We start from the raw sequence: 24,833 nt of genomic DNA on the forward strand, positions 1-24,833 counted from the left end.
TTCCCACACCCATTGTGGGCACTCTGATGAGCCCAGCTTTGACTTGTGAAACAGACCAGCTATGCCTCTGGAGCCCATAAGAAGGGGAAAGAGGCAGGTCCCGCCCCTGACAGCGCCAAAGCAAGCTCCCGGTGGCCCACAGCTCATGGCAGGAGTGGTAGCCGCGGAGGTGGGATTTTGAATCTGACAAGGCTTGTCAGACCCTCCTGGGGCAGCATCCCATTGCCCCTGCCTGGCCCCGAGAGGGACCGTATGCTTGTGTCCACAGCCTGGACGCTTCCCTGGAGGACGTGCAGCGTCCTTCGTGGCCATTGAGGCTGGCCCCCCTTCTAGGTGGGGACGCTGAGTGGGGGAGTGTGGGGGAGGCACCGTCGCAGAGTCACCGAGAGTCAGGAAGAGAGGCTGGCGTGGGGTTCTCCTATGCGGGGCCTGGGCCTCTGTCCACCAGGTGAATGGGAGACTCCAGGGCCCCCAGATGGTAGGGTTCCACACGGGCCTGGGGGCCCTTCCTGGTTCTGTACACAGATGTAGAGACGCAGGCGGGGGTGTGTCCCCCGTGGTGGGGAGAGGTGCGAGCGAGGGTGCCGAGGGTGCCGGGATGCTGTGTGCCCTCATGCGCTGGTACCCAGGGCGTGCAGACGAGTGTCGGGCGCATGCTCCTAGCCCTTGAATTGTGGGAGTCCAGCCGCTGTGTGTTATAAGAGGCACACGGGCTCCAAAGACAGCACGAAAACATCACAGGACGGCTCGATGGTCATTTTCATGTCAGTTTCGTGTTGGAGTAACCATGGTTTGCTCGCATCGAGTCAAACAGAATCCCGTAGCTAACTTCGCCTGTGTGCTGTGGCTGCTGGGAAGTGGCTGCTGTTATATTTCTGTGGATGGCACAGCCCAAGGCAGGCAAACGTCTCTGCACCTAAGTGTGTCCCTGCCCCAGTACGTGAGCAGGAATGCGGCTGTGGGGGTTGGGTGTGTGTGCCCAGGTGTGTGCCCAAATGTATGGTTTTTCTGATGTTTGTGGCTGCTGTACCCACGAACTAGTGGGTTTAGAACAGCGGAAAATCACTCAGCTCTGGAGGCCAGTGCTCCAAAATCCAGGCCTTGCAGGGTTGCTTCCTCTGGAGGCTCTAGGGGAGAACTCTCCTCGCCTCTCCTAAGTTCTGGCGGTTTTGCAAGTCCCCGGCTTGTCGACACGTCCCTGCGGTCTCTCTGTCTTCACATGGCTCTTTGGTTTCTTCTTATTGGAACAGTCGTGGCTCAGGGCCCTCCCTACTCCGGGATAGCTTCATTCCTCATTGTAACCCATGACACCTGCAAAGATCCTGCTTTCTGTGAAGTCCAGTCACAGGTTCTGGAGGTTGGACTCTGGATGGATCTTTCTGGGGGGGACACATTCACCCCACCGCTCCTGTGTGTGAGGGTTCCCGGGCCCTTGTGGCAGCACCACTGAGTGGGCCTGCCCCTGTCTGTGCCCTCTCCCGCAGGACTGGGCCAGGCCCCTGGCCATCTGTCGGGCCTCAGTGTGCCCTGCCCCCTGCCCAGCCCCCCAGCGGGCACACTGACCTGTGAGCTGAAGAGCTGCCCGTACTGCACCCGTGCCCTGGAGGACCCGGAGGGTGAGCTCAGCGGCTCGGAAAGTGGAGACTCAGATGGCCGTGGCGTCTATGAATTCACGCAGGACGTCCGGCACGGTGACCGCTGGGACCCCACGCGACCACCCCGTGCGACGGACACACCAGGCCCAGGCCCAGGCAGCCCCCAGCGGCGGGCACAGCAGAGGGCAGCCCCGGGCGAGCCAGGCTGGATGGGCCGCCTCTGGGTTACCTTCAGCGGCAAGCTGCGCCGCATCGTGGACAGCAAGTACTTCAGCCGTGGCATCATGATGGCCATCCTTGTCAACACGCTGAGCATGGGCGTGGAGTACCATGAGCAGGTGCGGGCTGGCCTGGCCACGGGGTGGGCTCCCTGTCAGGCTTGCAGGGCCTGGGGAGTCTCAGGAGGCTTCCAGCAGCCCCGATGCCTGACCTGATGGTAGGACGGTCAGGCAGGGCTCTAGAAAGCCGGGGATGGTGAGGATAGGAGACCAGGTGTGCCGAGCCTCCACTGGAGGGGATCTCCTTGGATTCCTGGCCTCCTCTCTAGACGGCAGCTGATTAGGCTCCTTTTGAGATGCTGCTGCAGCCCTCTTGACCCTTTGGGTCTTGATGCAGCCAAACCTGCTCCCAGATCAGTGCCGGGGAGGGGTGGGAGCCGTGGGTGGGGCCCCAGATCAGTGCCGGGGAGGGGTGGGAGCCGCGGGTGGGGCCCCAGATCAGTGCCGGGGAGGGGTGGGAGCCGCGGGTGGGGGCCCAGATCAGTGCCGGGGAGGGGTGGGAGCCGCGGGTGGGGCCCCAGATCAGTGCCGGGGAGGGGTGGGAGCCGCGGGTGGGGGCCCCGATCAGTGCCGGGGAGGGGTGGGAGCCGCGGGTGGGGCCCCAGATCAGTGCCGGGGAGGGGTGGGAGCCACGGGTGGGGGCCCCAGATCAGTGCCGGTGAGGGGTGGGAGCCGCGGGTGCGGCCTCCTGAACTGTCCCCACCTCTGCCTGCAGCCCGAGGAGCTGACTAATGCTCTGGAGATCAGCAACATCGTGTTCACCAGCATGTTTGCCCTGGAGATGCTGCTGAAGCTGCTGGCCTGCGGCCCTCTGGGCTACATCCGGAACCCGTACAACATCTTCGACGGCATCATCGTGGTCATCAGGTGGGTCCCCACCCTCTCCCCAGGAAGAGGGGCCCGGGAAGCTCCACTCTCTGGCAGAAATCCCACCTGCAGAGCAAAACCCAGAGCACAGGAGGAAGTACGACGATAGCTCTTTATGACAGGCCGTGGGAAGCAGGTGCTTGGTGACCCCAGTGGCCCAAGGGACCGTCCTGGGCAGAGTCCCCTCCCCAGACGCTATGCTTCCCTGCAGGCACTACGGGGTGCGCACCTGTTAGGTCAGCTGCGTCTCAGATGTTTCTAGAAACTAGCGGAGCTGTTTCCTGCAGGAACAAAGCAGGTGTGGGGTGGCCTCAGGGCCGAGCGAGAAAGACCAGCTTAAAAGGCTGAATCCTGCTTGCTGCTGGAGGAGCATTTGCTACAAGAAAATTAAACCAGAAAGGATTGGGAAAATTTGAGGGGAAACGCCCCCGGTCTTCCCCTAGGAGGACGCTCATCCCTCAAGAGTAGAGAGGGGTGCAGGGTCTCCCATCCTGGGGCGGGGAGGGAGTGAGCAGAACGGACAAGCCAGGTCTGGCTGTGGAAGGCCCAGGATAGGAGAGCGCCCTCGGCGAAGGAGCTTCCCTGCCCTGGCCAGAGCCAGGCTTCTTTCCCAGGGGGCACTGGGGGCCGGGTAGCCCCCGGGGCCATCAGCGGATAAGCGGCTTTTGAGGTGCTTCCGCAGCTGTTCATGCACCTTGATGCAGCCATACCCTCTCCCATCTGTGGGATGCAGCACAGGCCGCTGTGGCTCCCTGGCTGGTGACCCTGCTTCCAGTGGGACGAGGGCCTGGGGTCAGGGATCGTGGCCCCGCTGACCCTCGCCCCCACCTGTCCGCAGCGTCTGGGAGATCGTGGGGCAGGCGGACGGTGGCTTGTCTGTGCTGCGCACCTTCCGGCTGCTGCGTGTGCTGAAGCTGGTGCGCTTTCTGCCAGCCCTGCGGCGCCAGCTCGTGGTGCTGGTGAAGACCATGGACAACGTGGCTACCTTCTGCACGCTGCTCATGCTCTTCATTTTCATCTTCAGGTGGGCGCAACCCCCCTCCCGGCCCGCCCAGTGTCTCACCCCAGGGCAGCTGGGAGGCAAAGGCCCAGGGCACCCCCCGAAGGAGAAGGAGCCCTCCCACCAGCAGCCCCAGAGCATCTGCAGACACTCGGCCTCTGCTGCCTTCATTTGAGAAGCACTGATTGGGCCCCTACTGTGTGCCACGTGTTAGACATGCAGGGAGTCAGATGGCAGGGGTCAGAGATGGGCCGCCAGGTGGACAAGCTGGGGATTTACTCAAGAGCAGAATACCGGGGGTGGGGGCAGGCACCAGGCTCCAACTGGGGTGTTCTGAGCGCCTGCTGTGTGCCCGTCTAGCCTGGAGCTCAGGGTCAGGGTCGGCTGGAGGCTAGGCAGCCAGGCAGGCCGGGCTTTCACAGTCCAGAGAGGCTGAATGAGGCAGGTGTCCCAGGTTCCAGTTGCCACCCAAATCCAGAGTGGCTTCCCTCTGTCTGTCCCGCCTCTGGTCTTGGTTCTCTCGCCTGTGGAATGGACACTACTGAGTTGTAGGGCAGGAAGTCCCTTTTAAGCTAGAGAGCTCGGGCGCCCAGGGAGGGTAGGAGGCCAGGAGAGCCAAGACGGGCAGAGCCAGTCCTGCCCCTCCCTCCTCCCACCCCCCTCCCGCTCCCCCACCTTCTTCCGCTCAGCACACCCCTGCCTCCACCCTCAACACGCCCCTGCCCCCACCCTCAGCATCCTGGGCATGCACCTTTTCGGCTGCAAGTTCAGCCTGAAGACAGACACCGGAGACACCGTGCCTGACAGGAAGAACTTCGACTCCCTGCTGTGGGCCATCGTCACCGTGTTCCAGGTAGTGCCCGGGGTCCCCGCAGCAGTGTTGGGTGCTGAGTGTGGTCCCCAGAGAGGTGGAGGTGCCGTCCTGCGCATCCATAGCTGCCTCTGCCCCAAGGACTTGCCGGCATTTCGGGGCTGGGGTGACCACCCCAGGCCCCCTGCTATCCCCCAGATCCTGACCCAGGAGGACTGGAACGTGGTCCTGTACAACGGCATGGCCTCCACCTCCTCCTGGGCCGCCCTCTACTTCGTGGCCCTCATGACCTTCGGCAACTATGTGCTCTTCAACCTGCTGGTGGCCATCCTCGTGGAGGGCTTCCAGGCGGAGGTGAGGGGGCAGGGAGAGGGGCTGCCAGGAGGAGGGCGATGAGAAGAGAGACGGGCTTCAGGTCGAGGGGAGGGGTGTGGGGGGCCTGCCAAGAGGTGAGGGATAGAGAAGGGAAGCTGGCTGCCATGAGGAGAGGGGAGGCCAGGAGCCCAGCGGAGTGGGCAGGGGTCGGTCGGGAGAGGCAGATTCCTCACCTACCTGCCCACCCTGGCAGTGACATCATCCTCTGGGCCCTTCTGTCCACACCCCACCTCCCAGGCCAGCCCAGACTTCTGTCCGGCATGAAGGGTCCCCACTCACGGGGCCCCTCATGCCTGCCTTGTGCTTTGTTGGGTTTAGGGCGATGCCAACAGATCCGACACGGACGAGGACAAGACGTCGGTCCACTTCGAGGAGGACTTCCACAAGCTCAGAGAACTCCAGACCACAGGTGCGTGTGGTCGGTGGGTGGTCCGGGTTCTGGCGGGTGGAGTACGCTGGGCTGGCCGGGCAGGGCCCCCATAAGGCAATCCCTAGGTTGGGGGATTCCTGGTCCTGGGAGCCTGGCAGCTCTAGGGGCCCATTCCTCCCTCTGTCCCGCAGAGCTGAAGATGTGTTCCCTGGCCGTGACCCCCAACGGGCACCTGGAGGGACGAGGCAGCCTGTCCCCTCCCCTCATCATGTGCACAGCTGCCACGCCCATGCCTACCCCCAAGAGCTCACCATTCCTGGATGCAGCCCCCAGCCTCCCAGACTCTCGGCGTGGCAGCAGCAGCTCCGGGGACCCGCCACTGGGAGACCAGAAGCCTCCGGTAGGGACCATCTCCTGCCCCAGCTCTCAGGCCCCTTCAGGTTTTCCCTGCCTGGCTCCTTATGGCCTTCCCTGAAGATGAGTGAGGGCCGCACCCCCCACACCCTTGAAGTCCCAGCCTGTGCAGAGACTGAGAAAGAGTGTTCTGGTTTCCGGAAATGGAAGCTGTGGCTGCTGTTGTGTGAGGCCGGTGTGAAGGGGCAGACGCGGAAGCTCTGTGCGCCCAACAGTCTAGCAGAGTGCACAGCGCACAGCACAGAAAGACCGAAGCAAGCAGGGGCAGAAGCGTGCCCGGCAAGCAGACGGCAGGCCAGGCGGGGGTTCCGCTGCCACCAGAAGCAGCCCGATTCCCTTTACGGCCAGGGCATCTCTCTGGGTCCAGGGGGACTGGAGGGGAGCAGTTTTGAAACGAACTCCAGGCAGTACCACCCACAACAGACACGGAGGATGGGAGTGAGCCAGACGCCCTAGCAGGGGAGGAAGCGGGGCAGCTGTGAGGCAGAGCCGCAGGCCCAGTGTGCTCCTGGGGACACGGGGGCCACCCACACTTTGTCTGGTCCTGGGCTGGTTCTGGCCCCTGACCCAGCAGAGCCCAGGGCATCACCCCCGCGAGGCGGACACCCTGACCCTCATGAGCTACGCCTGTGGCTGGCTCGGTGTCCCCCTAAAATCACAGCCTCCACCGTGCCTCCCTGGCGGGGCTATGCATTAAATGATCCACGTGTGGCTTGCACACAGTGGGTGCTCCGTAATGACAGCGGTCGGTGCTAATAGTGATGCCACCAGGTCACTGACTCCCGCCACCCCCCAGGCCAGCCTCCGAAGTTCTCCCTGTGCCCCCTGGGGCCCCAGTGGCGCCTGGAGCAGCCGGCGCTCCAGCTGGAGCAGCCTGGGCCGTGCCCCCAGCCTCAAGCGCCGCGGCCAGTGTGGGGAACGTGAGTCCCTGCTGTCTGGCGAGGGCAAGGGCAGCACCGACGACGAAGCTGAGGACGGCAGGGCCGCGCCCGGGCCCCGTGCCACCCCACTGCGGCGGGCCGAGTCCCTGGACCCACGGCCCCTGCGGCCGGCCGCCCTCCCGCCTACCAAGTGCCGCGATCGCGACGGGCAGGTGGTGGCCCTGCCCAGCGACTTCTTCCTGCGCATCGACAGCCACCGTGAGGATGCAGCCGAGCTTGACGACGACTCGGAGGACGTGAGTGCGTGGCCCTGGGCCCACCGCCGACTCGCCTTCGTCTGTCTGGGGCAGGTTCCCTCAAGTGGGGTTTGAGATGGGATTCAGGGCGTGTTGTTGACTGAGGGGATTCAGAAGGGGAGAGAAGCAGGCCAGGCCAGGGAGGAATCCAGCAGTGTTCAGGGATTCAGCCACAGATGATCCCAGAGTCCCCCCTCTGCCGTCTAGGGGCTGTGAGCTAAACGCTCCACGCACGGCCTGCATACGGGGGCTGGGCTCTGCGCCGTGGGTCAGCCACTGGCCGAGAGCTGCTGCCGAGGCAGGGCCAGGCATCCGCTAGGCTCTCAGGCTTCCGTGGGTCAAGGACCACTCCCAGAGTCAGGGACCCAAGAGCACCCGCTCACCTGGCCCCGTGGACTCCAGCACGGGTCACTCTGCCGTCACCAGCGTAGGGAAGGGGGAGGCTCCACGGTATGGGCCCCAGAGGCCAGAAAGCCAGAGCCCAAAGGCCAGCGGGTGAGGAGTGAGGATGGAGAAGGCTGAGAAGGTGCTGGGAGGGGTGGCCGAGCTGAGCACAGAGGGCCCTGATGGGGGGCCGGGCAGGCAGGCGCAGGCTCTGAGAAGCCGCCGCCTCATCCCACAGAGCTGCTGCCTCCGCCTGCATAAAGTGCTGGAGCCCTACAAGCCCCAGTGGTGCCGGAGCCGCGAGGCCTGGGCCCTCTACCTCTTCTCCCCACAGAACCGGTGAGGCGGCCGGGTCAGGAGGCTGCATGGCTAGTTCCACCCCACGGGACCCCCGCCCCCAGGTCCCTCCTGGGTGGGGCTAGCACATGGTGGATATTTCCGAGTGGGCACCCCTTCTCACACCGCAGGGACCGGGGCTGAAGTGGAGGCGTGGCCAGGGCTGTCCTGCAACCCCCATCCACTCTGCCATCCACGCCGCCCCGCCCCACCTCTCACCCGCCCCCGCCCACCCAGGTTCCGCGTCTCCTGCCAGAAGGTCATCACACACAAGATGTTTGATCACGTGGTCCTCGTCTTCATCTTCCTCAACTGCGTCACCATCGCCCTGGAGAGGCCTGACATTGATCCCGGCAGCACCGTGAGTCAGCCAACCCCATCGTCCCGGGCCACCACGACCCCCAGGGAGGGGTGGAGTGGACACAGCCCCCCACCGTCCTCTCCCGGCAGGAGCGGGTCTTCCTCAGCGTCTCCAATTACATCTTCACGGCCATCTTCGTGGCGGAGATGATGGTGAAGGTACCGCGGGGCCCGGGGACTGCCCTTGTTCCCAGGTCCCCGTTCTGCCCTCATCCCCACCCCCACCCAGCAGCGCGCCAGCTCCCCAGACCCCCCACGCCTGAGCCTGAGCTCAGTGCCATTGGCCCTCCGCAGGTGGTGGCCCTGGGGCTGCTGTCCGGCGAGCACGCCTACCTGCAGAGCAGCTGGAACCTGCTGGATGGGCTGCTGGTGCTGGTGTCCCTGGTGGACATTGTCGTGGCCATGGCCTCGGCTGGTGGCGCCAAGATCCTGGGTGTTCTGCGCGTGCTGCGTCTGCTGCGGACCCTGCGGCCTCTGAGGTGGGGGGCTCCCCGTGGGCTCCCGGGGCAACCTGGAAGCACAGTCCCCTGACGCCACTGCCCATTACTCCTCCCGCAGTCCTGGGCTGTTCGCAGGCCGCCCACTCGGCCCCACCTTGGGACCTTTGCTGAGCTCTGCCGGCGCCTGGCAGCTGCTGCCATAGATGACTGCAGTGTATCCTTCACTCCCCTCCAGGGTCATCAGCCGGGCCCCGGGCCTCAAGCTGGTGGTGGAGACGCTGATATCATCACTCAGGCCCATTGGGAACATCGTCCTCATCTGCTGCGCCTTCTTCATCATTTTTGGCATTTTGGGTGTGCAGGTGTGTGGCCCCCACGTGCCCGGGGGTCTGCCCCGTCGCAGACAGGGTCTGCCTTCCCAGCGTGGCTCCCAGCAGCGCCGCTGCGGGACGGGGAGGGACAGCTCGGGCCTCACTCGCGCCCCAGGAAGTCCGGTGTGGGGTGGGGCACAGGCCAGGCCCTCCGCGGTGACCGTCGCACCCCGTCAGCTCTTCAAAGGGAAGTTCTACTACTGCGAGGGCCCCGACACCAGGAACATCTCCACCAAGGCACAGTGCCGGGCCGCCCACTACCGCTGGGTGCGACGCAAGTACAACTTCGACAACCTGGGCCAGGTGGGCTGGGCGGCCGGGCGGGAGCTGGGGGTCTCCAGGACACCCTGGAGCGAGAGGGCCGGCGACCCCAGCTCTAACCCTCGCCAGTGACCCTGGCTCTGGCCCTCAGGCCCTGATGTCGCTGTTCGTGCTGTCATCCAAGGATGGATGGGTGAACATCATGTACGACGGGCTGGATGCCGTGGGTGTCGACCAGCAGGTGCGCACAGGCGGGTCGAGCTGGGTCACCTCAGGGTCTCCCGCGAGCGGCTGCCTTGGCCTCTGGGGACTCGGGGGGCCATCCTGGGTAGGGCCCCTGGCGGGGCAGGCGGGCGGGGACCCACCGCCTCTGTGCCACAGCCTGTGCAGAACCACAACCCCTGGATGCTGCTGTACTTCATCTCCTTCCTGCTCATCGTCAGCTTCTTCGTGCTCAACATGTTCGTGGGCGTCGTGGTCGAGAACTTCCACAAGTGCCGGCAGCACCAGGAGGCGGAGGAGGCGCGGCGGCGAGAGGAGAAGCGGCTGCGGCGCCTAGAGAGGAGGCGCAGGAGTAAGGCGCTCCCGGTGGCGGTGGCGGTGGCGGGTCGGTACCTGTGTGCCCACCGGGCCCTCCAGCCCCTCCACTCCCGCCCCGGCCTCCCCGAATGGCTCTGCACGCCACCCGCCTTGCCTGGGCCTGCATGGGGGCTGGGCCTTGGAGGGGCTGGCCCGAGAGGGCCGTCGGGGAGCCCGCCATGGCAGGAGAGGAGGAGACACCCCCAACCCCATCCCCAGCGCCCAAGAGGCAGGTTCCCCACCGAGTCCTCACTCCACGAGGAGCCAGCACAGCCCCCGAGACACGGGGGCTGAGGGAGAGCAGGGAGGGCTCCAGGCCCGAGTGCGCCACGCCCTCGGCCCTCAGACCATCTCCTTGTCTTTCCAGGCACTTTCCCCAGCCCAGGTACCGGCCCTGTCCCGCATGCCTCAGGCCCCGCTTCTGCGGCCGCTGCTCGGGGAAGGGCGGGCATCCCAGGCCTGCTGGGGTCCTCCGCAGGGTGGGCACAGGCAGCCGGAGGTGCTGGGCGTGTGGCGTGAGGAGGGGCTGCGCTCGCCCGCCAGTGTCCGGGCTGCTGTGTGCGTGCACGCGTGCGGCTCTGCCCGGCTCACAGTCTGCCTGCATCTCCGCCGTGCGCCGGGACACCCAGAGCAACGAGGGGCCGCCCACACCCCTGCAGGCTTGTGGCTGTCCTGTGTCCTTGCTGGTCCAGCCTGACTGGCCGCGGGCCCTCTCCGGCTGCCCGGGCTGCGCTGAGTGCTTCAGTGACTGCATGCCGGCCGCAGAGCATGAGGGTCGGGTGGCGGGTGGATCCTGCTCTTCCAGGCCCTGGGCCAGCAGTCCCCACCCGTGTGTGGTTCTGTGGCCGAGGCAGGTCCTGGGGTGTGGTGGCAGCTCACGCCTTCACCCGCGGGAGCTCCTCCTCGTACGTGGAGGGGCCCTGGAGGCTGAGCATTCAGTGCACACCTGCCTGGGGGACACACGCAGATGGCGGGCGCCGACTTCAGATGGTCTGGAGTCCGGCAGACCCTAGACCACAGCCCATGGCCCCTTGGAGGATGGGGAGGGGAGGTACTTGGGCTGGTGGCCAGAGGAGGGCAGGTTACACTCTCGTCTCTGCTCCAGTGAGGCCTTGTGGGCCCAGACCCAGAGATGGAGTGGGGCTGCCCTGCCCAGCCCTTCATCAGTGTCTCAGCCTGAGGCCAGGCAAGGAGTAGACCACAGAGGCCCAGCCACGTGCTGCGCCAACTTGGGAGCTCCAGGGGGGCGGGCCCTGCCAGGCACCCAGTTGGGATGTGGGGGAGCCATCTCAGCTTCATACCCACTCCTGGGGGCTGCCTGGCGCAACCGCGTTGCTGAGGAGGAGGTTAGTCAGTGGCCTGCCCCGAAGGCCTGCTCCAGCCCAGGCCTCCTGGCCTAGCCAGCTCCCCAGGGAGCTGCATCTCACCTAGAACAGGGTCCTTTTCCTGAGAGAGTCCCCCTTCTCCAGTCTTATGTGAGCCCTGCCATGAGGCAGGGCCAGCCCCATCTTCACATGAGCCGTGGGCCCCCAACTTCTACCCTACACTTGGCCACCTAGGAGGAGAATGGAGTCTGCAGGAGCCAGGAGCGCCGGGCGGCCCTCCTGCCCGGCGCTCATGGCCGCCCTCCCCGCAGAGGCCCAGCGCCGGCCCTACTATGCCGACTACTCGCCCACGCGCCGCTCCATTCACTCGCTGTGCACCAGCCACTATCTCGACCTCTTCATCACCTTCATCATCTGTGTCAACGTCATCACCATGTCCATGGAGCACTATAACCAACCCAAGGTGGGTGCGAGGGGGCCGCGAGGGGCCCAGGGGCTGGGGCACCCCCAGTGGGGCAGCCAACACAGTGGGCACAACCCTGGACCGGCGCTCCGCTGAGCCCTCGCTGGGGTTTGCGTGGGGATGTGGGGTTTTGTGTGAACACGGGTCTTTTAATGTTGATTGAAACTCCCCTCCCCCTGTCCTTGGGGCCCCTCCCCAACCTGGCCGTGAGTGTCCCACCCAAGGAGGGGCTGGCGGGAGGTGAGTGTCCCACCCAAGGAGGGGCTGGCAGGACGTGAGCATCCGACCCATGGGGAGGGGCGGGAGCCAGGCAGGCCTGAGGTGGAGTTTTTCTTTATTCGGGTCCCCCTGCATCCTCTCCTTTCCTCAGCGGAAGGACTTCGTCCTCCCAGCCTTTTAGAAGAAGGAGGTAGCCTCTGGGTAGCAGTAAGCTTTTGAGGCTGAACAGACTCAGCTCTATGGAAAGCGTTTTGTGTGGAGCCGAGGATGGCCGTGGCCAGAGGCCAGGAGCCTGGGCTGGGAGGGGCAGGATCTTCCCTCTCCGGAGGTTCGTCCTCAGAGGGTGAGGGGCTCCCAGGTCCATCTGGGCAGTACCTCCCAGCCCAGCCCAGGCTGCATACCGTCGGTGCTCAGAGTTGGGCCCTGTGAGCCCATGTCCCCATGTCCCCGAGGTGCTCAAGTCAGTAGAAGACAGGGTGGGAGGTCAGGACACTGCCATCGGGGTGCACAGACGGCTGCAGGGTGTGAAATGGGCTGGGGGCTCAGGGTGGCTTCCTGGAGACAGTGGCATTCAGCTGGTCTTGTGGATGCTGGGAGGGTACCTTTCACTCATTCACCTGATCAGACACTTACGGAGCACTTCCTGTATGCTGGGCTGGAGGAGGGCCGAAGAGGCTCCCGGTGCCCAGGGAGGAGCTACTGAGCTGACCTGGGAGCCTCCAGGGCCGGCCAGCGGGGGCACTCGGGCGTGCAGAGTGGGAGCCAGGGGGAAGAGGGGTGGCCCCAGCCCCACCTCAGCCAGCCCGACCCTCCACCCCCAGTCGCTGGACGAGGCCCTCAAGTACTGCAACTACGTCTTCACCATCGTGTTTGTCTTCGAGGCTGCACTGAAGCTGGTAGCATTTGGGTTCCGTCGGTTCTTCAAGGACAGGTGTGTGTGGTGGGGCCGTCTTGGGTTCTGGGGGCCCCTCAGGGCTCTGGGGGCTGGGGGCAGGTGAGGCCGCAGGCTTTCCCACGGAGGTCTGCAGAAGCAACGCTGCTGAGCCGAGGCGGGGACCCCAGACGTGTGCGCTGAGCCTCCGGCCACACAGGTGGAACCAGCTGGACCTGGCCATCGTGCTGCTGTCACTCATGGGCATCACGCTGGAGGAGATAGAGATGAGCGCCGCGCTGCCCATCAACCCCACCATCATCCGCATCATGCGCGTGCTTCGCATTGCCCGTGGTAGGTGCCCGCGTGCCCGCCAGGTTCTCTCTGCGGGTGGAGGGTGGGGGCTCAGCCATGGGTGGGAGTGAGGGGCGGGGCGGCCAGGGTCCCCGCGCAGCAGGGAGGGTCCGCCCAGCCCTGCTGACGCTCAGCTCCCGGCCCTAGTGCTGAAGCTGCTGAAGATGGCTACGGGCATGCGCGCCCTGCTGGACACTGTGGTGCAAGCTCTCCCCCAGGTAGGTGGAGCCCGCGCCATCCTCAGCGCAGGCCCCCGGAAGACGGGGTTGCAGGGAGCGCCTCGCCGTCCCCCTCTCCCCCTCACTCGTTTCTCTGGTCCCTCGGTTGTGTGGTGGCTGAAGCTGCGTCCCTGCTGTGTGCAGTGCATGGCTTGGCTGGGCTGGCAGAGGTGGATCCAGCCGCTGCCCTCTGGCCTCAATCCTCTGGGCAAGACTCATAACCGGGGCCCCCTCCCCGGTGCACTTCCAGAGGCGGGGGCCGTGGAGAGCCAGAGGGATGCAGGCAGAGGGCAGCAGGTGGCCAAGGTGGGTGTGTGTGGGCACAGGAATACACCCAGGATGCAGGCGTCGGCTGCGGGCCCGGGGCCCCCTCGGAGCCCACATGGGCCCAGCCTCCCTGCTTCCTGTGCCCCTGGCCCCTGCCCAGATCCTTTCTGTCCTCCAAGGCCAAGAGACCCAACACGTTGTCCCGTCCGTAGCCTCTAGTCCACCTATCCAACCCCCGTGTGTCCGTCCATCCACCAGCCCAGCCATGTTCCCAGCCACCCCCAACCCCCACGGCTGCCTATGCACCCGGCACCTCCTCCTGTTCCCACCCATTTCCTGTCCCTGCGCCATCTGTCACTTGCCCCCTGCCTGTCTTCTGCCTCCCACCTCAGCTGTCCCCACTCACCCTGTCCTCAGCGGCGTGCCTAGCTTCGTCCAAGTAACACTCCCGAGGGCCAGGTACCACTCCACCAGGTGCTCAGCTGTGCAGAGAAGGGGCGTGGCGTAGGACAGGCCTGGCCAGCCTTGGAGGGTGCGCCGCCCAGCGGGGCAGTGTGTGCAAATGCTGGGGCTGGTGGGTGGCTCACAAGAGAGCCGTGGCAGGGGAGGGGTGAGGCCCAGGCCCACCTGCCGGGACCCCTCAGTCAGCTGCGTGCTGGCCTGGGCCCCGCCATGGGATCTCTGAGGTAGCCGCTGAACAGGGCGGGCCAGAGCCCCCAGGAAGAGCATGCTAGGCCTTGGGGAACCTGCTGGGCAGAGTGTGGAGTGGGCTCTGGGCCAGAGGCTGATGCTCAGGGGCAGGGCAGAGGAAGAGAGAAGCCAGTGCGGGCCAGCACAGAGGGGTGGGCTCTGTCTACCTGGTGAGGTCATGGTGCCCCGAGAGGGGCATGGGGCTGAGGAACAGGGGTCCCCGCCCAGCTCTGGGAACTTGCTTCCACTTGGCCGGGCCCGGAGCACCTGGAAGAAGGTGGGCAGGTGGGGTCTGGTGGCCGAGGCGCCGAGTGCCCTGCAGGGTGGGCTGAGGCCTCCCTGCCCGCCCGTCTGACCCAGCTCTGCTTCTCTCTTGTGTAGGTGGGGAACCTGGGCCTTCTTTTCATGCTCCTGTTTTTTATCTATGCTGCGCTGGGAGTGGAGCTGTTCGGGAGGCTGGGTGAGTGGCTCCTGCGCCCTCCTCCTGGCACACATGGGGTCCTGACAGGCGCCCCTGTGCCCATCCACTCACACGCAGGCACATGCTTGCAAATAGCGTGGGGCCTGATCAGGGCCACACGCCTCCTGGGCGTCCTCACCCGGCCCTGCTTCCGGAGCCTTTTCTGCACGAGGCCGAGTCTCGTGTTGACGCAGAGGCATGTGCCCAGGCTTGTGACACGTGTGCGGACGTGCACACAGCAACACAGACACAGGGATGCCTGCCACACGTGAGGGGAAGCAAGAACACCTAGAGACGTGCACACACAGACATCTGGAAACACACGCCATGCCCAACGTCACATGGTCCCAGGAGACAAATGTTGGCTGTCTCCCCTTACCTGGTGGCCGTAGCCTCCTGAGGCCCCCACCCAGGCCTCAGCCTCGGCCCAGGCTGGGCGGGGCAGGTGGGGACCCTCCTTAGACGGCCCAGCCCTGCCCCTGCCGGGTTCCACTTCAGGCAGCCCAGTCCCTGCAGGGCCCTCCCCCGGGCCCTGTCCCGACGGTGGGTGTGGCGTTGCCACAGTCCAGTGTCTGTCCACCAGGTAAGCTTGATTTTGGTCAGCCGGCGCCTACTCATCCCCCGCCACGCGCAGTCACAGACACACACAATAATGATTCTTCCATGGCAGCCGCCAGGCCTGATGAGCCCCAGCCCAGGTGCGGCAGCAGGGGCCTCGGCCCAGGGGCTCCGACCTCACACCCAGGGTCACCCTCTGCCAGGCAGGGCGAACCGCCAGGGCCTCGTCATCCACATCCTCCGGGCTATCCTGCCTCTGGGCTCCCCAAGGGGCATGTGGAGGCTGGGTGCATGTCCCGCCTCCACCCGGAGCGGGCTCGGCTGACCGGGCGGGGTCTCCCTCCCCGCAGAGTGCAGTGAAGACAACCCCTGCGAGGGCCTGAGCAGGCACGCCACCTTCAGCAACTTCGGCATGGCCTTCCTCACGCTGTTCCGCGTGTCCACGGGGGACAACTGGAACGGGATCATGAAGGTACCCGCCGCGGCCATGCCTCTGGCACCTGGCAGCCCCAGCGGTTTTTCAGGCTCTCCCAGGAACGGGTCGGATCCGTCCTTGCAGGGCAGGGGGAAGGGGACGGCACTGCCAGGGTGGCACCCGCGGGTGGGTGTGGACCCCGGCCCACAGCTGTCCCCCACCGCAGGACACGCTGCGCGAGTGCTCCCGTGAGGACAAGCACTGCCTGAGCTACCTGCCGGCCCTGTCGCCCGTCTACTTCGTGACCTTCGTGCTGGTGGCCCAGTTCGTGCTGGTGAACGTGGTGGTGGCCGTGCTCATGAAGCACCTGGAGGAGAGCAACAAGGAGGCACGGGAGGATGCGGAGCTGGACGCCGAGATCGAGCTGGAGATGGCGCAGGGCCCCGGGAGTGCACGCCGGGTGGACGCGGACAGGCCTCCCTTGCCCCAGGAGAGTCCGGGCGCCAGGGACGCCCCAAACCTGGTTGCACGCAAGGTGTCCGTGTCCAGGATGCTCTCGCTGCCCAACGACAGCTACATGTTCAGGCCCGTGGTGCCTGCCTCGGCGCCCCACCCCCGCCCGCTGCAGGAGGTGGAGATGGAGACCTATGGGGCCGGCACCCCCTTGGGTATGGTAGCCAGCAGGAAGATATGGGCTGGGTGGGAAGCAGGACAGGGAGGAAGATGGGGGCAGGTGGGAGGGAGGATGGGGTCAGGCCAGAGCAGGGCAAGAGGAAGGATGGGCGGGAAGGAGGATGGGGGCAGGCAGGAGGGAGGATGGAGGCCAGATTGAGGAGGCTGGGTGTGGGCAGGTGAGAGAGAGGACGGGTCGGGCTGGGGCTGGCCAGGAAGGAGGATGGTGGCAGGTTGGGGGAGGACGGGGGTGGGTGGCAGCTGGGCAGGAAGGCAGGGGCAGAGCTGCCAGCTTAGATTCTTCCCTGCCCCAGGCTCCGTTGCCTCTGTGCACTCTCCGCCCGCAGAGTCCTGTGCCTCCCTCCAGATCCCATTGGCTGTGTCGTCCCCAGCCAGGAGCGGCGAGCCCCTCCACGCCCTGTCCCCTCGGGGCACAGCCCGCTCCCCCAGTCTCAGCCGGCTGCTCTGCAGACAGGTAGGAGAAGCCGTTGGCCTGCAGCAGAGGCTGGCGGGGATGGGGGGCTTGCAGGGATGCCTCGTCTCATCTGAAGGACCAGCAGACGAGGACAAGGCAGGAGGAGGGTCGCACTGGGTCCTTGGGGCTCCGAAGGTTTCTGCCTGCTGCTTGGTGGATCTTGGAGCATTGGGCCCAGGTGCGTCTTCAGGCCTGTGAGCCTGTGGCTACAGAGCTCTTGGCTACAGGGACCTGAGTCTTCTTGGACCCACAGCTTCAGGCCCCACGGTGGGCAGACAGCGGTTTCTCAGGTCCCGTGGTGGGCAGACAGCAGTTTCCCAGGGCCCACGGCGGGCAGATGGCAGTTTCTCAGGCCCCATGTGGGCATGGGTCCCGTGGTGGGCAGACAGCGGCTTTTTCAGTCCTGGCTTGTGTTCAGATGTCCCAGCCTTGCCCACCTGCAGCCTCAGCTCCTCTTCCTGCCCTTTCCTACCTCTTGCTGCCCAGTACAAGACGCCTGTACCGCACAGGAGCAGTTAGGAGAGCCCCATCCTGGGGGTGCCCAGCTGGGCTGCTGATGTCCAGGGGTGGGGAGGTGGCCTCAGCCTCAGCTCTGTGCCCCTGGGGGCCATGGCATCTCTGCCCACAGAGCAGCGGGTACAGGCTTTCCCCGGGAGCCTCACAGGTCAGGAGTGAGACTAGGACGTCCACACCAGCGGCTTCCAGCCCCATCTCGAGGGTCAGGAGCCACCCAGGGGACCTGCCCAGTTTGGCCTCTCCAGTACCTGGATGGTGAGGGGTCTCCGAGCCCTGGCCACTGACAGGGCTCTCCCAGGGCCCCGCCCCTCACTTTGACTCTACGCCCCCACAGGAGGCTGTGCACACCGATTCCTTGGAAGGGAAGATTGACAGCCCTAGGGACACCCTGGATCCTGCAGAGCCTGGTGAGAAAACCCCGGTGAGGCCGGTGACCCAGGGGGGCTCCCTGCAGTCCCCACCACGCTCCCCACGGCCCGCCAGCGTCCGCACTCGTAAGCATACCTTCGGACAGCGCTGCGTCTCCAGCCGGCCGGCGGCCCCAGGCGGAGAGGAGGCCGAGGCCTCGGACCCAGCCGACGAGGAGGTCAGCCACATCACCAGCTCCGCCTGCCCCTGGCAGCCCACAGCCGAGCCCCATGGCCCCGAAGCCTCTCCGGTGGCCGGCGGCGAGCGGGACCTGCGCAGGCTCTACAGCGTGGATGCTCAGGGCTTCCTGGACAAGCCGGGCCGGGCAGACGAGCAGTGGCGGCCCTCGGCGGAGCTGGGCAGCGGGGAGCCTGGGGAGGCGAAGGCCTGGGGCCCTGAGGCCGAGCCCGCTCTGGGTGCGCGCAGAAAGAAGAAGATGAGCCCCCCCTGCATCTCGGTGGAACCCCCTGCGGAGGACGAGGGCTCTGCGCGGCCCTCCGCGGCAGAGGGCGGCAGCACCACACTGAGGCGCAGGACCCCGTCCTGTGAGGCCACGCCTCACAGGGACTCCCTGGAGCCCACAGAGGGCTCAGGCGCCGGGGGGGACCCTGCAGCCAAGGGGGAGCGCTGGGGCCAGGCCTCCTGCCGGGCTGAGCACCTGACCGTCCCCAGCTTTGCCTTTGAGCCGCTGGACCTCGGGGTCCCCAGTGGAGACCCTTTCTTGGACGGTAGCCACAGTGTGACCCCAGAATCCAGAGCTTCCTCTTCAGGGGCCATAGTGCCCCTGGAACCCCCAGAATCAGAGCCTCCCATGCCCGTCGGTGACCCCCCAGAGAAGAGGCGGGGGCTGTACCTCACAGTCCCCCAGTGTCCTCTGGAGAAACCAGGGTCCCCCTCAGCCACCCCTGCCCCAGGGGGTGGTGCAGATGACCCCGTGTAGCTCGGGGCTTGGTGCCGCCCACGGCTTTGGCCCTGGGGTCTGGGGGCCCCGCTGGGGTGGAGGCCCAGGCAGAACCCTGCATGGACCCTGACTTGGGTCCCGTCGTGAGCAGAAAGGCCCGGGGAGGATGACGGCCCAGGCCCTGGTTCTCTGCCCAGCGAAGCAGGAGTAGCTGCCGGGCCCCACGAGCCTCCGTCCGTTCTGGTTCGGGTTTCTCCGAGTTTTGCTACCAGCCGAGGCTGTGCGGGCAACTGGGTCAGCCTCCCGTCAGGAGAGAAGCCGCGTCTGTGGGACGAAGACCGGGCACCCGCCAGAGAGGGGAAGGTACCAGGTTGCGTCCTTTCAGGCCCCGCGTTGTTACAGGACACTCGCTGGGGGCCCTGTGCCCTTGCCGGCGGCAGGTTGCAGCCACCGCGGCCCAATGTCACCTTCACTCACAGTCTGAGTTCTTGTCCGCCTGTCACGCCCTCACCACCCTCCCCTTCCAGCCACCACCCTTTCCGTTCCGCTCGGGCCTTCCCAGAAGCGTCCTGTGACTCTGGGAGAGGTGACACCTCACTAAGGGGCCGACCCCATGGAGTAACGCGCCCGGCCCCGATGCGAATCAGGCCTCCCCTACATCTGGGGGCGTTGGCCGCGAGATTCCCATTGACACCTTTGTTTCGTGTGCTTTTAAATTCAGGTTAAATGTTGCAATAATCTGATGCAGAAGACTCAGCTTCTCAAGGGAGAGGGAGGGGGCGGAGCGGAATAAATAGTAACTTATTTAAGAAATGCACTTGGATTCCTGCCATCAGTCAGGGGCGGGGAAGGGAGTACCATCCGCAGATGGGTGCAGCAGGCACTTGGCCAGCAGGACACAGGAGACTAGCAGAAGGAAGAGGCCGGGGAGGAAGAAGCCAGCCAGGAGGGGGAGCCTGGGGTACCCAGACTCTGAGCCCCCTGATGCTGTGATGTGGCGGCGGATCCAGTTCACGTAGGCAGGGACACGAGTGTAGACTCCCGGCCTGTTGGGGCGGCCGCAGCCCTCACCCCAGCTCACAGTGCCAGCCTGCACCCAGGCACCGTTCACCTGGCAGACCAGAGGCCCCCCGGAGTCGTCCTGAGGACAGAGAAGGCGAGCATTGGGAGCCGAGAAGATGGGGAGCCCCTCCCTGGGCTTCAGCCGCCCCCATCCTCTGTCACGGCCTGGCAGGCTCACCTGGCAGGCATCCCCGGGGCCCCGGGCACACAGCATGTCGGGCTGAAGGATGCTGCCCCCGGGGCCGGGATAGTCCCGGCGGCAGGTCTCTGTGTCCACCACGGAGACTTTCACCTCCCGCAGGCTGTACGGGGGTGGCAGAGGCTCTGGGGTGGGGGGAACAGGCTTCAGAGAAGGTTGGGGCACCAGGCCCTGCACTGGGGGGATGGGAGACCTTGCCAGACACAAGTCCCATGCCACCACGACCCTCGTCACGGCACGTGGGTTGTGATCTGACGTTTGGCTGCTGCTTTGGATCCACACGACAGGCTTTGAAAAGGGACAGCCGATAGGGGCGGCCTTGGCTGGGTGTGGAAGCCACCAGGAGCAGGTGGTAGCATCAGCATCCCTCAAGCCAGCTCTCTTCCTGCCGCCCTTGCCTTCCTCCATCCCAGCATCCCCACGGGGGCTCCTCACCTCCCTCCCGCGTATAGCCCCAGCCGGTCACCCAGCACCGGATCCCAGGGCAGAAGTCATCTGAGGCCTCCGGGAGGCAGACGGGCAGGATCCGGCTGGAGAGGGTCACGGGGACACTGAGCTCCACCAGGGCGATGTCCCCGCTGGTCCCCGGCTGTCCTGAGGGGCTGGAGTGCAGGATGATCTGCCTCACGGTGGAGAAGTGGGGAGACAGAGTGATCTCCAGTTCCCCCAGGTGCACCTGGTAGTCGGATGAGTTCAGGGACCTGGGAGGGAAGGTGGCTGGGTGAGAGGGGCCAGCTGCGGAGGCTGGAGGTCAGTGTCGGCCCCGCCCAGACCCTACCCTTGCAGGCATCCGAAGCCCAGCTCTTCCCTCCTAGGCTTGGGACGCAGAAAGCCTGGGCAGTGGCCTCACCCTGCAGGGCCCAAGGACCACGGCAGCACCTTGGGGTTCCTGCCAGCCCCTGGAAAAGCCAGCAGCATGCCCGACACCAGCAGGGGCTGGTCAGGAGGCAGATTGCAAGCTCAGCTCCACGTGAAGAGACCGAGGGGAGGGAAGGAGGGAGGGAGCTGTCCATCCCTAGAGGTGAGCAAAGAGCTGCAGAACCTCACAGAAGGTGGGCAACCAGCTCCTCCCTTTCCATTGGAAGGAAGTAGGCTCAGAGTTCCCAAGCCTCGGAGTGAGTCAAGACCAAGTGGAGGCCTCTGCGCTGGCGCATGCCCCACTGGGGCCTGGACATTGAGACTGCCCCTGCCCACCCGGACACTCACCCGGAGAAGCAGTGGGCAGCTGTGAGCACCCACTGGGGGCTGAGCAGTGACCCGCCGCACACGTGCACCCTCCGCAGGCGGAGGCTGGCCTGCCATGGCCATGCGCCGGCCGGGGCAGCGTGACCCCCCACGATCCGGCCGCCTGCATCCGAAACCTGCGGCCGGCCACACCCTAAGTCGAAGGAGGAAGGGGTGCCTGGTGGGGATCCCAAGAAACCCACTGCACTTCCTCCATGAAGCCTTCCCTGACCACACCTCCCTGCCTTCTTGGGGACTTTGCTCTTCAGCTCTCTCGTCTGCCAGACTCTCCCCAGAAGCATCGTGGGTGCAGCAGAAATGACGTCTCAGGAGCAGTGAGCGCGCCTGGGGCTCAGGTCGTCCTTTCTAAGCACCATGCTCCACAAACTAACCAGGGCTCCCGGAGGCGGTGGAAAGGCTGCAGAGGGCCCCTAGGCGGCTAGAAAGGGGCTCAGAACGGTGGAGCCCCCGAGAAGGCCCGGGGTGCTGGGGGTGGCTGCCTAGTGGGCCCCGGTTTTCCTTCAGGGGTGGTGGAGATATTCGAAGCTGGATAAAATTCGGGGGGCGGGGGGCAGACAGCACTGTCCAAGGTGCTCGGGGCCTCTGAATTGGACGCTTGATAATGTAACTTTATCTTCTGTAAACTTCACCTCAGTAAGTTAAGAAGAAATTAAGAGGAAGTCAGCTGGAGACCCACTGGCCACACCTGGGTCTGCCTGAGCTGGATAATTGTGCTGGTGATGGAGTGTGGCCACTGGGCTGAATGGAAGGGAAGCTGGGATGTAGACAGACAGAGATGTTTATAGATAGGCAGCGGGTGTGGGGTGGGGCACCGGCTCTCCCACACGGCAAAGCCCCCAGCTGGTTCCAGGGCCACGGTGGGGACGCTGTGGGGAGAAAGTTCGAGGAGGGCCAGGTTGTTTCATGGCCTCAGAGCATCTCCCAAGGTACAGACTGACTACAGTGGTGGTGGGGGAGACAGCCCTGCAGCACACCCCGACCAGCCCCACTCAACCGAGAGATGCGAGCAGAAACCACGGCGACAAACTATGACCTCCCCGGGCCCCCATTGGGACCCCAGGGAAGGAGAGGGTCACCGAGGCCCTCCTGCCAGGCCTTGCCTGCACCCTCCCCCACACCCCACACCTGTCAGAGACGTACCTGGCTGCAAAGTCCTGAGGGACACACCTGTGGGAAAGACGAAGGGCCCAGGATGGAGGGGGCTGCCAAGGAGAGGGGTGTGCGGGCTCCAGAGGCCCCTGCCAGGCCTCAGGGCGGCACTGGGGTGGGGCCTGGTCCTGAGCAGAGGGGCCCGGCCTGGTGAGGCTGGGTCAACTGCTGTCTCACTGGCCCAGGGCTGGGTGGGACAAGCCACAGGCCATAAACGGCAGCTGGAGGCCGGGAGCTTGGCCTCAGGCCTGGGCCTCCTCCCCGCCCTCCAGGTCCTGCTCAGGAAAGAAATCACCAGTGTTCTAGGGCCTGGGACTCCTGGCACCCCCAACTCCCACCCGCACCCCCAACTACCACCCGCCCTGCCAACTCCTGCACCCCCAACTCCCACCCGCACATCCCTCCTGCCTCTCCCCAGCACGGACAGCTGGGCCTCCAGCCAGGGGTGCAGTCTCTTCAGAGGAGACACGGGGCCCCACAGGGTGGGGACTCAGCATGTTTCTCCGTCTCAGACCAGCCCCCAGTTTCACCCCCATCAGGGGTCCAGGCAGGAAGCAGATGCCCCCCCATCCCCACACCCAGGCCAGGTCACCCACCGGGCACAGCCAGGAGCAGCAGGAGGCCACAGGCCCCAAGGGCCATGGTGTCTGCCCACTGTAGGGAGAAGGAGGGCCAGCCTGACCCTTGGACCTGCTGGGCGTGGGGGATAGGGGTGGCCACACACCTGCTGTCAGGCAGGGCGGGAGGACGGAGGAGGAGGCCGGAGCTCCACAGACGGCCCCACCTGTTCCTTCTGCACCTCAGAGAAGGGTCGTCACCTCCATTTATCCCTGTGTGGACGCCACAGCCCTGGCACCAAGTGGCCGGCTCCGTCAAGGGAAAGCGGGGAAGGACAGAAGGCAAAAGTACTTCTCACCTTGTCTCTGCTCCGGGGCCAGGGCTGAGGGAGGGGTGAGTGTTCCTCTGAGTGCCGCCCCCTCCAAAAATTACTCCCTGGTTCCCTCGGGGCACGCCACCCCCTCTCCTTCATCCTCTGGGAGCCCAGTCCTGGGGGTTCTTCAGGAGGGTCCCAACTCAAGGCCCAGCAGCCCTTTGGAGACAGCTCAGGCCCTCGTGACAACCACTCTTTGAGAAGTCCCTGTCCCCACGTCCGGCAGCAGGTCCTGTGCTCGTGCGGCAGATCAGATGGGCACCACTTCACGGCCCAGCCTGGGTTGGCCCTTCCTAACCGTCCTGGCTGCCCCAGCCTGATGACTCAGCTGATTAGGGGCCCTGGGCAGCGCCCGGGACTTTCCTGCCGCCCTCCCCAGATCCAAATCACAGGCCAGGCTGGAGGGTCCAGCTGAGACCTTCTAGGTCAGGGATCCCCTCTTTGATGTGGGGAAACTCAGCCACGGGTTGGGGGGAGTTGCCTGACCACCCACCAGGATGTGGCCTCCCAGGCACAGACGTGGCCGCCTGCACGCCAGCACGTGGGGTAGCCAAGGCTCAGAACTGGAGGTTCAGTGTTTTTCCTGGTGACCAATAAGGACAACACCAGCATGCGGGGCCAGCAGTGCACCCACGGCCGGGCACCCTCCTCCCTCACGGCAGCCGCACACCTGGAGGGGGCGCCTCAGGGGAGGCAGGACAGTCCCACCCCACACAAGGGAGCGGGGTCTGAGCCACGAGTCCCCGGCCCAGGGTGCCCCTAACAGGGCGATGTCACCCAGTGGGGAGGGAGCCTGAGGGGCAGGGTCTTCATGGAACCAGGTCCTCTAGTCCTGACCTCTAGGGCTGTCCCCAGGTCCCCACAGGTGGGGACTTCAGGGCCCTCACCTGTCCCAACTCAATTCACCTGCAGCACTGGGGACCCCGTCTTTCTGCCTGTGCCCCAGCACGCCACTCCCCGCAGAGTGCTCCACACGACCCAGATTGCAGGCCTGCTGGGGAGGAAGAAGCTTCAGGCACCATCCCCTGAGCCCCAGCAGTCCTGTGACATGGTGCCGTTCACCCCCACCATTGGACAGGAGAGCCAACTGAGGAACCGGGAGGGGGGCCTGGCCCTGGTGATTGCCCCCAGCTTGGTGGGGTCTCCTGTTGTCCAGGACCCTGGGAGACCTGGGATTGCTTCTGTCTGCGGTGGCCTGGCCACCTGGGTGCCGTCCCCTCGGTGGGAACCCTGTCCCCCCCACTCGCCCTCCGCCTCACACCCCCCTGTGACGGGGAACCAGGGCCTCCTGCCGGCAGCCACGTGGGTGACCTTGGAGCAGGTGCCCCCGTCCCAGTCAAAACGCAGGTGGCTGCAGCCCTGGCCAGCAGCCTGCCTGCCACGTCCTGAGAGACCCTTCCTGCTGAAGCTGACGCTCACATCTGCCAGTGTCACTGGGCTGAGCTTCACTGAGCTTCCCAGGGATCTTAGATCTAATTTGGGAAGCTCTGGGGCTGGAGCCCGCCCTCCCCCTCCACCCAGTGACCGGCCCCTGCTGTCCACCTTTCCTTACACCGGCAGCCCTGTCCTGAGGGGCCGTCTTGCTTCCCTTCGGGGTCTCATCCCTCCGACTCCCACCCCGCAAAACCTCCAGTGGGCGTGTGGAAGTGCTTCTAGGGGCTCAGTGTTCCCTGGGGGTCACCCCGTGCTGTCTCTGTGATCCCTAGAAGGTGGGATGGGCCAGAGGGAGGAAGAAGGGCCCGAGTTCCAGGTCCATCTTCATTAACAAGACGCTGGGCCTGCAGAACAGGAGCCGAGGGATGGGCCTTCAGGGGCTG

General features: G+C 65.5%; 3 protein-coding genes across 17 annotated transcripts in view, besides 1 other annotated feature; 2 read left to right on the forward strand and 1 right to left on the reverse strand.

Moving 5' to 3' along the window:
• The window catches only part of CACNA1H (calcium voltage-gated channel subunit alpha1 H), a 68,663-nt gene extending 49,420 nt beyond the window's left edge, over positions 1–19,243 (forward strand). For 3 of the 15 annotated variants that reach the window (XM_006720963.4, XM_017023819.2, XM_011522724.3), the window contains 25 exons: positions 1,485–1,933; positions 2,589–2,740; positions 3,579–3,764; positions 4,476–4,593; positions 4,750–4,905; positions 5,245–5,335; positions 5,488–5,696; positions 6,507–6,887; positions 7,510–7,610; positions 7,845–7,968; positions 8,058–8,126; positions 8,262–8,446; positions 8,643–8,769; positions 8,956–9,081; positions 9,191–9,280; positions 9,421–9,646; positions 11,255–11,406; positions 12,447–12,556; positions 12,717–12,850; positions 12,998–13,068; positions 14,407–14,485; positions 15,394–15,515; positions 15,685–16,126; positions 16,445–16,605; positions 17,456–19,243. In XM_006720963.4, the coding sequence (XP_006721026.1) occupies positions 1,485–1,933; positions 2,589–2,740; positions 3,579–3,764; positions 4,476–4,593; positions 4,750–4,905; positions 5,245–5,335; positions 5,488–5,696; positions 6,507–6,887; positions 7,510–7,610; positions 7,845–7,968; positions 8,058–8,126; positions 8,262–8,446; positions 8,643–8,769; positions 8,956–9,081; positions 9,191–9,280; positions 9,421–9,646; positions 11,255–11,406; positions 12,447–12,556; positions 12,717–12,850; positions 12,998–13,068; positions 14,407–14,485; positions 15,394–15,515; positions 15,685–16,126; positions 16,445–16,605; positions 17,456–18,469 (5,075 nt within the window). In that variant the 3' untranslated portion in view covers positions 18,470–19,243. The other 12 variants (NM_021098.3, XM_006720964.4, XM_047434836.1 and 9 more) reach the window with 12 other exon arrangements.
• Positions 19,126–22,743, reverse strand: TPSG1 (tryptase gamma 1). Its single transcript, NM_012467.4, has 6 exons — positions 22,682–22,743; positions 22,077–22,103; positions 20,898–21,069; positions 20,127–20,392; positions 19,671–19,816; positions 19,126–19,571 (listed from the first exon to the last, which is right to left on the reverse strand). Exons 1-6 carry the CDS (start codon positions 22,725–22,727, stop codon positions 19,263–19,265), a joined length of 966 nt encoding a protein of 321 aa, NP_036599.4. The 5' UTR covers positions 22,728–22,743; the 3' UTR covers positions 19,126–19,262.
• Positions 21,595–21,781: a silencer, noted in NCBI's record as "fragment chr16:1274120-1274306 (GRCh37/hg19 assembly coordinates)". NCBI's record gives its function as "represses an EF-1alpha promoter that drives an FKBP-Casp9 reporter gene in an ReSE screen in HepG2 liver carcinoma cells and K562 erythroleukemia cells {active_cell/tissue: HepG2 | K562}" and the evidence as "EXISTENCE:reporter gene assay evidence [ECO:0000049][PMID:32094911]".
• Positions 22,726–24,715, forward strand: LOC124903621 (uncharacterized). Its single transcript, XM_047434997.1, has 2 exons — positions 22,726–23,036; positions 23,929–24,715. Exons 1-2 carry the CDS (start codon positions 22,726–22,728, stop codon positions 24,713–24,715), a joined length of 1,098 nt encoding a protein of 365 aa, XP_047290953.1.

The sequence above is a fragment of the Homo sapiens genome, chromosome 16 (assembly GCF_000001405.40).
Source record: "Homo sapiens chromosome 16, GRCh38.p14 Primary Assembly".
In the NCBI taxonomy this organism is placed as follows: Eukaryota; Metazoa; Chordata; class Mammalia; order Primates; family Hominidae; genus Homo; species Homo sapiens.

Excerpts from the sequence above, each read along its gene's own strand:
- LOC124903621 (XM_047434997.1), top strand. The coding sequence starts at position 22,726 with ATGGTGTCTGCCCACTGTAGGGAGAAGGAGGGCCAGCCTGACCCTTGG. Across the intron at positions 23,037-23,928 it reads GGGCCAGGGCTGAGGGAGGG|CACTGGGGACCCCGTCTTTC; the intron begins GTGAGTGTTCCT and ends ATTCACCTGCAG.
- TPSG1 (NM_012467.4), bottom strand. The coding sequence starts at position 22,727 with ATGGCCCTTGGGGCCTGTGGCCTCCTGCTGCTCCTGGCTGTGCCCG. Across the intron at positions 22,104-22,681 it reads GCTGCTCCTGGCTGTGCCCG|GTGTGTCCCTCAGGACTTTG; the intron begins GTGGGTGACCTG and ends TCTTTCCCACAG. Across the intron at positions 21,070-22,076 it reads CCTCAGGACTTTGCAGCCAG|GGTGTGGCCGGCCGCAGGTT; the intron begins GTACGTCTCTGA and ends CCTTCGACTTAG.